This window comes from Homo sapiens, chromosome 4 (assembly GCF_000001405.40).
Source record: "Homo sapiens chromosome 4, GRCh38.p14 Primary Assembly".
In the NCBI taxonomy this organism is placed as follows: Eukaryota; Metazoa; Chordata; class Mammalia; order Primates; family Hominidae; genus Homo; species Homo sapiens.
This window is the reverse complement of record NC_000004.12, coordinates 186,523,680-186,536,494: the sequence shown is the minus strand read 5'-3', so window position 1 is coordinate 186,536,494 and position 12,815 is coordinate 186,523,680. Positions and strand designations below refer to the sequence as shown.

The 12,815-nt window shown below is 39.9% G+C and overlaps 1 protein-coding gene and 1 long non-coding RNA gene across 3 annotated transcripts in view; one reads left to right on the top strand and one right to left on the bottom strand.

Annotated features, from left to right (window-relative positions):
* Positions 1 to 2,840, top strand: part of MTNR1A (melatonin receptor 1A) — a 21,913-nt gene extending 19,073 nt beyond the window's left edge. For both annotated transcript variants that reach the window (NM_005958.4, XM_011532002.4), the window contains exon 2: positions 1,938 to 2,840. In NM_005958.4, coding sequence (NP_005949.1) covers positions 1,938 to 2,806 — 869 coding nt within the window. In that variant the 3' untranslated portion in view covers positions 2,807 to 2,840. The remainder of the gene's footprint in view (positions 1 to 1,937) is intronic.
* LOC105377596 (uncharacterized) overlaps positions 1 to 12,815 on the bottom strand; it is a 22,094-nt gene extending 9,279 nt beyond the window's left edge. Inside the window, exons 1-2 of the long non-coding RNA XR_007058498.1 lie at positions 12,732 to 12,815; positions 11,600 to 11,658 (exon numbers count right to left, since the gene is read on the bottom strand). This is a non-coding gene — a long non-coding RNA (uncharacterized LOC105377596). The remainder of the gene's footprint in view (positions 1 to 11,599; positions 11,659 to 12,731) is intronic.

Sequence of the window (12,815 nt, the reverse complement as noted above, 5' to 3'; positions counted from 1 at the left end):
AAGGCGAAATCTTCTGTCCGTCCACCTGGGGCTCCCTCTGTCCCTGTCCAGCGCACCCCTTTCCTCACAGCTTCTGGTCTGTGCGTGCTCTGGTGCTGCTGCTTACTCTAGTGTAATTTTCTTTTTCTTTTTTTTCTTTTTTTTTTTTGATACGGAGTTTTGCTCTTGTCACCCAGGCTGGAGTGCAATGGCGCGATCTCTGCTCACTGCAACCTCTGCCTCCCAGGTTCAAGCAATTCTCCTGGCTCAGCCTTCCAAGTAGTTGGGATTACAGGTGCCCGCCACCACGCCCAGCGAATTTTTGTATTTTTAGTAGAGACGGGGTGTCACCATGTTGGCCAGGCTGGTCCTGAACTCCTGACTTCAGTTGATCCACCCACCTTGGCCTCCCAAAGTGCTGGGATTACAGGTGTGAGCCACTGCGCCCAACCACTCTAGTGTAATCTTTTTGACTTTTCCTGTCTCTCAATTCCTGTTTCCCCCTGCACCAAATATATGCATTTAATATGTAAACTGAATTGAATTTATTATAATTTAATCTGAGTAAAAAGCAGTATAAAGTGCTTTAAGACCCTTCAAAGGAGGAAGCTCTTACCACTAGGTGGGCAAATGAGCAAAGGCTTCTGGCATTTCTATTTGAGATAGACTTGGGAGAATGGGCAGGATTTAGAAAGTTGATGTGAGGAGCCATTCGAGGCAGAAGGAATAGTAAGAAACAGAGGCAGAAGAGCCGCAAAAGAAAAAAAACATATTTGCAGAACATCTCATAATATTTGACTAATGTAGCTGGGAGCAATGGCTCACACCTGCCATCCCAGCACTTTGGGAGGCCGAGGCAAGTGGATGGCTGGAGCCCAGGAGTTTGAGAGCAGCCTAGACAAAATGGCAAAACCCCGTCTCTACAAAAATACAAAAACGAGCCGGGTGTGGTGGTGTGCACCTGTGGTCCCTGCTGCTTGGGAGGCTGAGGTAGGAGGATTGCTTGAGCCCTGCAGGCGGAGGTTGCAGTGAGCCAAGGTCGGACCATTGCACTCCAGACTGGGTGACAGAACAAGACTCTGTCTCAAAAAAATAAAAATAAAAAAGTGACTAGAGTTTTTTTTTTCTGTAATTAAATATGTGTTGTTATATTAATTGAGAAAATTAACAGACTATTTAGGGTTTAAGTTTTGTAACGTAAGTTCTTTATAAGATCTAAGAGAATTTCTGCATTTTCCTTTGGTTCAAGGTGAGGGAGTCGTAGAATAAGAACATTTCTATGGTGTAAGACACGGTACATGGCGCTCACCACAGATAGTCTCATCTCGTGCTCACCACAGCCCTAAGAGGAAGCTGCTCATTATCCCATCATCCAGGGGAGGAGGCAGGTGCTTGGGGAGATCAAGTAACTTGCCCCGGTTGGACAGTTAGTAAGGAGTGAAGCCATGTTCTCATCCAGACGGCTGACGACAGATCCCTCTTGCCCTTAACTCCCTCTCTATGGGATCAGCAAGAACAGAAGCTAGAGGCCCCCTGAGAGCTGCTGAAGCACTACAGAGGGAATGAAGACTTGAACTTAAGGAAGTTGTGGCTGGCTTGACATCATATGAGATTTCTCAGGTGATGTAGAAGGCTCCAGAACAACAGATGGTGTGCAAGCATTCTGATCTCAGGACTTTTTAAGAGATGAGAAGCCGAACGGTTTGAAAGACAGCAGTTTTGAACATGGAACAGGCCCTGTTCTGGGGAGGTGGGAATGTGTGAACAGCGGATTCGATGTGTCAGGAGCGGCAGTGGACTGGCCCTCCTGGGAAACGGCCTCCACTTCATTTGCAGTGCGGCCGCCGCTGTGACGTCAGGTCATCGGAGCTGCAGAAGCAGCTCCTTCTTTAACAATTGTAACAGAAAACCCACTGTGAACTGGTATTCACTGTATTTTCTAAACGATTCTCTTTCAGGAAACATCTTTGTGGTGAGCTTAGCGGTGGCAGACCTGGTGGTGGCCATTTATCCGTACCCGTTGGTGCTGATGTCGATATTTAACAACGGGTGGAACCTGGGCTATCTGCACTGCCAAGTCAGTGGGTTCCTGATGGGCCTGAGCGTCATCGGCTCCATATTCAACATCACCGGCATCGCCATCAACCGCTACTGCTACATCTGCCACAGTCTCAAGTACGACAAACTGTACAGCAGCAAGAACTCCCTCTGCTACGTGCTCCTCATATGGCTCCTGACGCTGGCGGCCGTCCTGCCCAACCTCCGTGCAGGGACTCTCCAGTACGACCCGAGGATCTACTCGTGCACCTTCGCCCAGTCCGTCAGCTCCGCCTACACCATCGCCGTGGTGGTTTTCCACTTCCTCGTCCCCATGATCATAGTCATCTTCTGTTACCTGAGAATATGGATCCTGGTTCTCCAGGTCAGACAGAGGGTGAAACCTGACCGCAAACCCAAACTGAAACCACAGGACTTCAGGAATTTTGTCACCATGTTTGTGGTTTTTGTCCTTTTTGCCATTTGCTGGGCTCCTCTGAACTTCATTGGCCTGGCCGTGGCCTCTGACCCCGCCAGCATGGTGCCTAGGATCCCAGAGTGGCTGTTTGTGGCCAGTTACTACATGGCGTATTTCAACAGCTGCCTCAATGCCATTATATACGGGCTACTGAACCAAAATTTCAGGAAGGAATACAGGAGAATTATAGTCTCGCTCTGTACAGCCAGGGTGTTCTTTGTGGACAGCTCTAACGACGTGGCCGATAGGGTTAAATGGAAACCGTCTCCACTGATGACCAACAATAATGTAGTAAAGGTGGACTCCGTTTAAAAAAGCACCACGTTCCGGGTGAGATGGACACGCTGCGCAAGGCCTCGCTCTTGACAGATGTCTGGGAAAGCAGAGTGGTGGAGGAAACTTCCAACTTTTACCTGGCTGCTGCCATAGTTTCTGAGCTAACGTGCTGTCAGCATTATAAACCCCTCCAATTCTACTAGTCAAGAGAAGTACAGAATGTATGGAGAGTTACATGTTAACTGAGGAATGCGGTTCAGGGCTGGGGTGAGAGTAAGCTGCTGAATGCATTCAGGGGAAGGAGTGTGCAAACTTTTATTGTAAATGAGTGCCACAAAAGGGGTAATTGCATTCTTCTTCACTTTTTGAAGACTTCTAGCAGAAAAATGAAAGAGAATTTTATTTATAAATGAGCAAATGGAACAATTTTTTTTCTGTAAATGGAACAAACAATGAAAGTGGGGTGAGTGCCTCTTATTACAGAGGGAAAGGCTGAACATAAATCAGTTAATGGCTCATCAACAATCACAACCACAACCAACACCACAAACCTTTCAGCTGGCAGAGTTAGCATTGGGTAGCTATACTCATGGTCATAAATGTTTGCTGCTCTATATTACAAGTTGTGCATGCAACCAGATAAAGAACTAAATCATAGGCCGGGCACAGTCGCTCACACCTGTAATCTCAGCACTTTGGGAGGCTGAGGTGGGCAGATCAACTGAGTTCAGGAGTTTGAGACCACCCTGGGCAACATGATGAAATCCCATCTCTAAAAAAATACAAAAAATTATCTGGGCATGGTGGCACACGCCTGTAATCCCAGCTACTCAGGAGACTGAGTTAGGAGAATCCCTTGAGCCCCAGAGGCAGAGGTTGTGGTGAGCCGAGATCGCGCCAGTACATTCCAACTTAGGCTACAGAATGAGACTCTGCCTCAAAAAAAAAAAAAAAAAAAAAAACCATTTGACCCAGCCATCCCCTTACTGGGTATATACCCAAAGGATTATAAATCATGCTGCTATAAAGACACATGCACACATATGTTTATTGCGGCACTATTCACAATAGCAAAGAGTTGGAACCAACCCAAATGTCCAACAACGATAGACTGGATTAAGAAACGGTGGCACATATACACCATGGAATACTATGCAGTCATAAAAAATGATGAGTTCATGTCCTTTGTAGGGACATGGATGAAACTGGAAACCATCATTCTCAGCAAACTATTCCGAGGACAAAAAACCAAACACTGCATGTTCTCACTCATAGGTGGGAATTGAACAATGAGAACACATGGACACAGGAAGGGGAACATCACACTCTGGGGACTGTTGTGGGGTGGGGGGAGGGGGGAGGGGGGAGGGATAGCATTAGGAGATATACCTAATGCTAAATGACCAGTTAATGGGTGCAGCACACCAACATGGCACATGTATACATGTGTAACAAACCTGCACATTGTGCACATGTACCCTACAACTTAAAGTACAATAATAATAATAATAATAAAAAGAACTAAATTATATTACAGAGCTCTTATTCAGGTGTCAATTACCCTGGGATTTTAAAGCAGCAGTTATGTATAAAATTTTATTTAACTTTATTAGACATTGGGCTTGTTATTATTGTGTCACTGAGCAGCTCTTTTGAATTGATCTCTGTTAATTCATTAATTTGTCGAACGAGCTCAGTTAAAAATGACAAAGGATCAAGTTGCTGTAGACTGTTTGATGCGGTGCTGACTGTGTTCTAGATGGACACTTCAGTTGTGCAAGTAAATAATGAAACCAGATAGCTTTTCTATTATAGATACTGCAAAACAATATTCTTCAGTAATTCATTTTAGAATTTCACTGCCCTAATAGTACTGAAAGTCTGAGAGAGAAAAAATGCATCACAAAACTATGGTTTCATAAACTTTGGCAGCAGTTTACCCCAAATTGTTATTTGAGACTACTGTGAGGTATGTCGTATCAAGTGTTTTGCTACAGATGATAACCATGTTTTCTTGTATTTTAAAAGTCTGTAGCAAAGTGTCACATACTAGAATAAATTGCTGATTTGCAACTATATACGTAAGACAAAAAGTTATCTGGATATATTTGCTAATGATTCTTTTCATTAAGCATATTTGGAAAACACCAAATTATGTTTGTCATTGTTGGTGTATGTGTGTGTGTGTAAATTGTCTCCAAAACGTTACCCAAGTCATTTATGTGTAAAAGTTCTGAGTTCTTATCAAAATCACATTTAAATAGTAAAGATAACATTTAGGCCAGTGTTCCAAATTTCAGATAACCGAAACTTAAAAAATCAACCATGCTCAACTGAGCGCTTTTTGCAGTTTATTTTACACTCTTTTCTTGATGCTTGGTATGAATTACTATGTTGCTAAGTGTACACAGTATGATTCCTTTGTTCTTTATGGAATTTTATGTCTTTATTTCTGTATTGTACTATATTTGAATTGTATGTCAGCAAACATAGTGAATAGAAAACTGTGCCCTTTAAAAAATTGCCATGAGTAGCTCACCTGAAAATCAAGTATGTAACTTTCAAATATTGAAATGATTTTCCACTACCATCAGATAGTTAGAATATTGCCAATGAAACAGCTACTCATAAAGATCAAAGTAAAATACCCAGGTTTCCCCTACCAGAATCCCCATGTAGAAGTCTCATAATCATTCGAGGTGTTTTCTCCGGTTCTTCACTGTGATATCAATAAGTAGATCGCCCTTAGCTCTGTGTTTTTTTCCTCTTGAAAAACTCAGATATGTAATCAGTTGTGCTTGATATTTTCAGTGTACAAACTATTTTGTAGTCTGTTTGGAAGATTAACTCTTTCAAGACCATTAGATTAGGACTTATCAAATGACTGTTGCATACTGCTAATGGGCACCTGGGTAGTATCGTGTAGCATCACTGGACATGTGCTCCTTAGTCAAGAAAGCAGACTTTTTCTTTTTTTTTGGAAATAGAGTCTTGCTCTGTCACCAGGCTGGAGTGCAGTGGCACAGTCTTGGCTGACTGCAATCTCTGCCTTCTGGGTTCAAGCAATTCTCCTGCCTCAGCCTCCTGAGTAGCTGGGACTACAGGTTTGTGCCACCATGCCCAGCTAATTTTTTTTTGTATTTTTAGTAGAGATGGTGTTTTACCATGTTGGCCAGGATGGTCTCGATCTCTTGACCTCGTGATCTATCCACCTCGGCCTCCCAAAGTGCTGAGATTACAGGCATGAGCCACCGCGCCGGCCAGGAAGCAGACTTTTTCATGAAATCTAAGCTGTGTTAATGAGCTATCAACCTGTATTGAGGTAAGTATCTGCAGTCTATCAGAATCACTTGTTTCCAGTGTAAAGAATCTTTGCCAGTCTCCCCTTGCCTATGGGAGTACTAGTGGTGATGTGAGGGTTGACATAAAAGAGAGAATGATATTTTCTGTAGCATATTTGCAAATTCTAGGATTATTTGCATGTGTCTATAGCTGGGATTTCACTGTCTAGGCTGAAGGCTTTGTGAGGCCAAAAATAGTACCTGTGTTATAACAGGGAAAAATGCCCCTTTTGAAAAGCACTCAGTGGGATCTGAGACTCTGGTTAGGCAAAGTCTATACAAGGCCATTTGACGTGGAATAAGGATCAGCATCTATCATTGTCTTTTCTTCTATCAGTTACTGGAATGCTGTGCAATTATAAGCATTCTATAACTTAAGTACCTACACTAACATCCAGTTGGATTGCATAGACAGAAACATTTGACCATTCTAATTTACATAAATTATTTGAATATTATCACTGCAGAGCTTGCTTCAACTGTATTCTCCTATGGAAAATCTAAACCATGTAGGATTATCTTTTTTGCCTTTAGTGAATGTAACTTTTAAACATATATTGTTGTATTTTTCTTATACCTGTTGGAACAGATTAGTTTGGGACGTACTACATATACTATATTCTGTAAGCTTCATAGTCTTATAAAATATGGTTTTTCCATCATTCTCAGCAAACTATCGCAAGGACAAAAAACCAAACACCGCATGTTCTCACTCATAGGTGGGAATTGAACAATGAGAACACATGGACACAGGAAGGGAAACATCACACACCAGGGCCTGTTGTGGGGTGGGGGGAGGAGGGAGGGATAGCATTAGGAGATATACCTAATGTTAAATGATGAGTTAATGGGTGCAGCACACCAACATATGTATGTTGGTACAATATATGTATACGTATGTAACAGACCTGCACGTTGTGCACATGTACCCTAGAACTTAAAGTACAATAAAAAATAAATAAAATAAAATATGGTTTTTCTTTGTTTAAAACTAAAGAGTTAATAGATACTATAGATTGGGGAAAGGAATAACTTCAGTTTGCTCTATTGTATGTCTCATTACCAAATGTGTGTATGTGTAAATCATTGACATGCATAAGCAATCACATATTTTTCTGACAAAGCAGCAGAGCAACTTGATTTTAAATATTCTGGGAGGCGATTTGACTGGATAATCAATCTTAGATATTAAATCCATAATTGCTTAGTGATTAAACACATTCAACATGAATGTTAGGTAATGAATTTTGATCATTTTTTGGACTACCTCTGATTCATCACCAAATATTTCACTGTGAATAAGCAAACACATTTGGAATATGTTTTTAAGTCATCTTAAAGGACTGAATTATTATATTGGAGAATTACGTGAGCATGATCTATAAGCAGCTTTTTCTTTTGAAAACATAATTTTCAAAATTTCTTGTTCCATTCTTCCTTTTACTTTTTTCTACTTTTATGCTAGAAAATAAAGCATCTCTATTTTAAAAAGTTATTGTGTACAGTATAAAAATGCTCTAGGCCGGGTGCAGTGGCTCACGCCTGTAATACCAGCACTTTGGGAGGTCAAGGCAGGCAGATCACCTGAGGTCGGGAGTTTGAGACTAGCTTGACCAACATGGAGAAACCCCGTCTCTACTAAAAATACAAAAATTAGCTGAGAGTGGTGGCAGGCACATGTAATCCCAGCTACTCAGGAGGCTGAGGCAGGAGAATCGCTTGAACCCAGGAGGTGGAGGTTGCAGTGAGCCGAGATCGAACCACTACACTCCAGCCCGGGCAACAAGAGCGAAACTCCGTCTCAAAAAAAAAAAAAAAAAAAAAAGTGCTCTAATCTTTGCAATGGTAGCACCCACTTTGCTATGTTGATTACAAGTTTTTGGAAATCTCCAGAACTTGTAGGGGGAGAATTTAGGGAATAAATGAAAGTGATTTTAGTTGTGTCCAGTATTTATGTTGCTGATAAGCGTGTACTTATTTTACCAAAGGTCTTTTAGAAGACCAAAGATTGAATGTAAACTAAATTTGTAAAATACAGACAAAGGCCAAAAGGTAGAGATATCTAACCAAAGTCTTAGTATCCACATAATGTAATGATCATTGACAAGGTAAACGTTTAGTAAGACACTAAATGAGTACCAAGAGACTGTTGTGGCGGTTGCAGTGTCTAGAGGGTTGCGATGGAAGCTCTTGTGCTGTCAACTTAATGCCTGTTGGGGCATCCCTAACTGGGGTCACCTCACACTTGTCTAACCCCAGAAGAACAATGGAGTCGAGTGTGTGGCCACCTTGTTTGAAAGTGTAAAGGAAAATTTAAATTGATGGGACCACAATCATAAAAAAAAAATAAAGTTAATGATTTTAGAATCATGACCCCTAATCATATATATTATTGTATTTTTCTTCTCTGGAACAGAAACAGTTTAATAGAAACAACTATTTAGGAGTGTTTTTTACTGTTACAGAGTTTAATGTGAGAGACCAAGTTTGTGTATGGTTGTGTGTCTGTGTGCGTGTGTGTGCATTGTGTGTGTTTTAGCCAGCTAGCTGCTTTTTTTTTTCAATTGTAATGTTGTTGATCTTAGGCAATATGAACAGCCTCTACAGCTTTGAAGAGATAAAAAGATTATTTAGGTGCTGTGCTGTGTTGTTAGTAATAATGAAGTAATGCTATGTTCCTAGAAAAGAGTACCTTGATTATGAGGACACATTTCTGTGTTCCGATTACAGGAGAATATGATGAACGTGGCTGTTTTAAAACCAACTGATTACCACTGCTTTTAGAAAGGAGACACTTGTCTTTGTCCTTTTATTGTGATAATCTGGTGCTCTAATTTCTGATAGAACTGTTATGTTGCAGTGTGTGAAGCAGATGTGTCTAGTTTGCTAAGGAGAAGTAGAGAAAATTGCTTAGAATAAAAAAATGAGTGGTACCTTCTCTTTCTATGATGATGTGGAACAAGCCTCTAAGAACTCTTGAGTTTTGGTGCACAAAGGGACTAGTGATTATCCACCAAGCACCATTCTAATAAATACTGGATGAGCCTCAATGCTTACGATACAAGGATAAGAATCAATTCAACTGTTTGGTTTGCATAGTAGAACATAACTGATTTCTGCCTAGAAAAATTGTATCTTCATTAACTCTCTGACCATTGTGCTAGAGAATAAGTGTTTGCTTAGACAATGTTTAGGAAACTCAAAGTAGTTAAATATAAGATGTTAACTTGAGTTCTGATATTGTTTTATACTGGTAACTATTTTCTTTTAGTCTGGATATAAATTTTAATAAAAGTTGAGGAAGCTTGTTTTTCCAAAAGATGACTTGATTTTGTATTTTTGAAAACATAGCCCATGATGTAGTAAACTTGCATGTTTTTACTACTTTTTACTCATATCTGCACCTTGTTACTGCCAAGGATGAACTTTAATGGGATCTTTGCTTGTGTATATTTGTTTTAATAAAAGTTATATGTGTACACATGTGTATATATGGAAAAAGATGAATATGATTTTATGTCATTATTTTCAAGGTGGACAGTTTGTTTTTCCTGTTATTTGTTGGAAATTAAACAAAAGTTGGTTAAGAATGGAAGGTTGCTGGGTGTGGTGGCTCATACCTGTAATCCCAATGACCCAGGAGGCTCAGGTGGAAGGATCTCTTGAGGCCAGGAATTTGAGACCAGCCTGGATGACAACGAGACCCTGTCTCTTAAAAAGCAGAAAATTAGCCAGTAAAGATGAGATGTACCTACAGTCCTGGCTACTTAGGAGACTAAGGTCGGAGGACTGCTTGAGCCCAGGAGTTTGAGCTGCAGTGAGCTATGATTGCACCACTGCACTCCAGCCTGGGCCGGAGAGCAAGACCGTTTTTCTAAAACAATGGCAACAACAAGAAAGATGGAGGGTGGTTTTATAATTACTTAATATATGCATTTGTTTATAGACAATAGGCCTGTCTCTTTGGTTTTGGCATTTTTCTCAGCAGAATTTAAATTAGTTATTCATATGTGTTCATGTGCATACCTACGTTATAATATGTGTATTATATTGTTATATTCTAGTCCATCATGGAATGGAACTGAACATAATTGAACATTGCTTCATTTTGATATATGTAACCAACAAACGCTGTTCTATTCTAAGTATAAATTTATTGCCCAAATCAAATGTGTTTCTGCAAAAAGAAAAACAAAAAAGTCCCCCCAGAAAACATTTCTTGGTCAGTATATATGCATGGGATGGAATTCTTTATTTCTTGCAACTTCTGGAGGAAAAAGACAGCCTATCTTCTTGACCTTTGCATGGCCATGTTGTAGAATCATTCAAGGAACATTAGGGGGCATGGTAATGCCAATCCCTTCATTTTACAGACTGTGAAAATAAGATTCACAAAAATTAAGCATCTTGTCCATGATCTATTAGAGTTAGTAGAAGAGATAAGTCTGAACCATGAGCTCCTGTATTCACTAAAAATTTAGATAATATTGGATCCCTTGGTTTTCCAGAAACGGTGCTCGGTGATGGGGAGAAAGTGATGAACACAGCATGTATTATCCCAAGTGCTTCCCATGTAGCAGGAAGGGGACAGAACACACCTAATGAGAATGTAGTGCAGCTGCTAACATCAGCAAAAGAGACAACTAGATGCAAATACACACCACCGTCTAGGAAGTAGTCTCCTCTTCCTAAAACTCAAACCTGAATCTGATTTAACTAGAAATTTTCAGGAAATGCAGGGAGCAAGAAAGCATACTAGACAACATCGCAGGAGACAATCAGCAAAATCCAAACTCTACCCAAATCTTTAGTACAAAGAAACCACTCTAACAAGTATTTGAAAGAAAAAAAGATAGAGGAGGGAGCAAAGATTAAGAGACATATCAATTACTTTGTAATGAATGGGTTTGTTTAAGACAACTGTGCTTTTAGAAATTATATAGTACAGAGGAAAAATGCAAATACATGTATGAAAAGGAACTCGGTGTAGGTTACAGGTGGGACTTCATTTTAATGATTGAAGATAAGTGTCATTTATTTTTTTGGATAATGTGGGTAAAACTGACTAACTCTAAAAAATTAAGTTGGATTCCTTCTTCTGACCACATACAAAATAGAGATGGATTAAAGACATAAATCTGTGAAGATATATTAACGACATTGATAGGACAGTCTCCTCTATTTAAGAAACACATGGAACTCAGCAACAGCAGATAAACAGTTTTCTCAAGTCCACATGGAACATTCTCCAGGATAAACCACACATTCGGCCATAAAACAAGTCTTAATAAATTTAAAAAGGTTAAAATAATAATACAAAGTATCCTTTCCAACCACAGTGGAATGAAACTAGAAATCAGTGGCAAAGGAACACTGGAAAATACGCAAATATGTGGAAATTAGCACACTGTTAAACAGTAGGTCAGAGAAGAAATCACAGGAAAATTAGAAAATAGTTTGAGACAAAATAAAAATGAAAACAACCTACCAAAACTTCTGGGATGCTGTGAAAACGGTGCTGAGAAGGAAATTTGTAGCTGTACATACCTACAGTAAAAAAGAAGAAAGATCTCAGATGAACAACCTAAACTCACACCTCGAAGGAATAGAAAACAAACAAACTAAACTCAAAGCTAGCAGAAGAGGGAAATAATAAAGATTAGATCAGAAATAAGCTAGGGAATAGAAAACAATAGAGAAAAGTCAATGAAACTGAGTTGATTTTTCAAAAAGATCAACAAAATTGAAAACTTTTAGCTAGAATGACTAAGATACAAAGAGAGAAGACTCAAGTAACTAAAATTGAAAGTGAAAGAGGGGATATTATAACCAATTTAACAAAATTAAAAGGGCTTATAGGAGAGTACTGTGAAAAATTGTGCATCAACAAATTGAATGGCCTAGATGAAGTGTTCACATTTCTGGAAACATATGACCTACCAAGACTGAATCAGATTAGAGTCATTCATTGTCTTCGTCTGTTGTTGTGTTACTATAAAGAAATATCTGAGACTCTTTAGTTTAATTAGACCCCATTTGTCAACGTTGGCTTTTGTTGCCATTGCTTTTGGTGTTTTACCCAAAGGAATATAAATCATGCTGCTATAAAGACACGTGCACACGTATGTTTATTGCAGCACTACTCACAATAGTAAAGACTTGGAACCAACTCAAATGTCCAACAATGATAGACTGGATTAAGAAAATGTGGCACATATACACCATGGAATACTATGCAGCCATGAAAAATGATGAGTTCCTGTCCTTTGTAGGGACATGGATGAAGCTGGAAACCATCATTCTCAGCAAACTATCACAAGGACAAAAAACCAAACACCGCATGTTCTCATTCATAGGTAGGAACTGAACAATGAGAACACTTGGACGCAGGAAGGGGAACATCACACACCAGGGCCTGTTGTGGGATGGGGGGAGGGGGGAGGGATAGCATTAGGAGATATGCCTAATGTAAATGATGAGATAACGGGTGCAGCACACCAACATGGCACATGTATACATATGTAACAAACCTGCACGTTGTACACATGTACCCTAGAACTTCAAGTATAATTAAAAAAAAAAAATCTGAGACTGGGTAATTTTAAAGAAAAGAGGCTTACGTGGCTCACGATTCTGCAGGCTGTAAAAGCGGCATGGTGCCAGCATGTGCATCTGGTGAGGGCCTCAAGCCTCCTCCATTCATG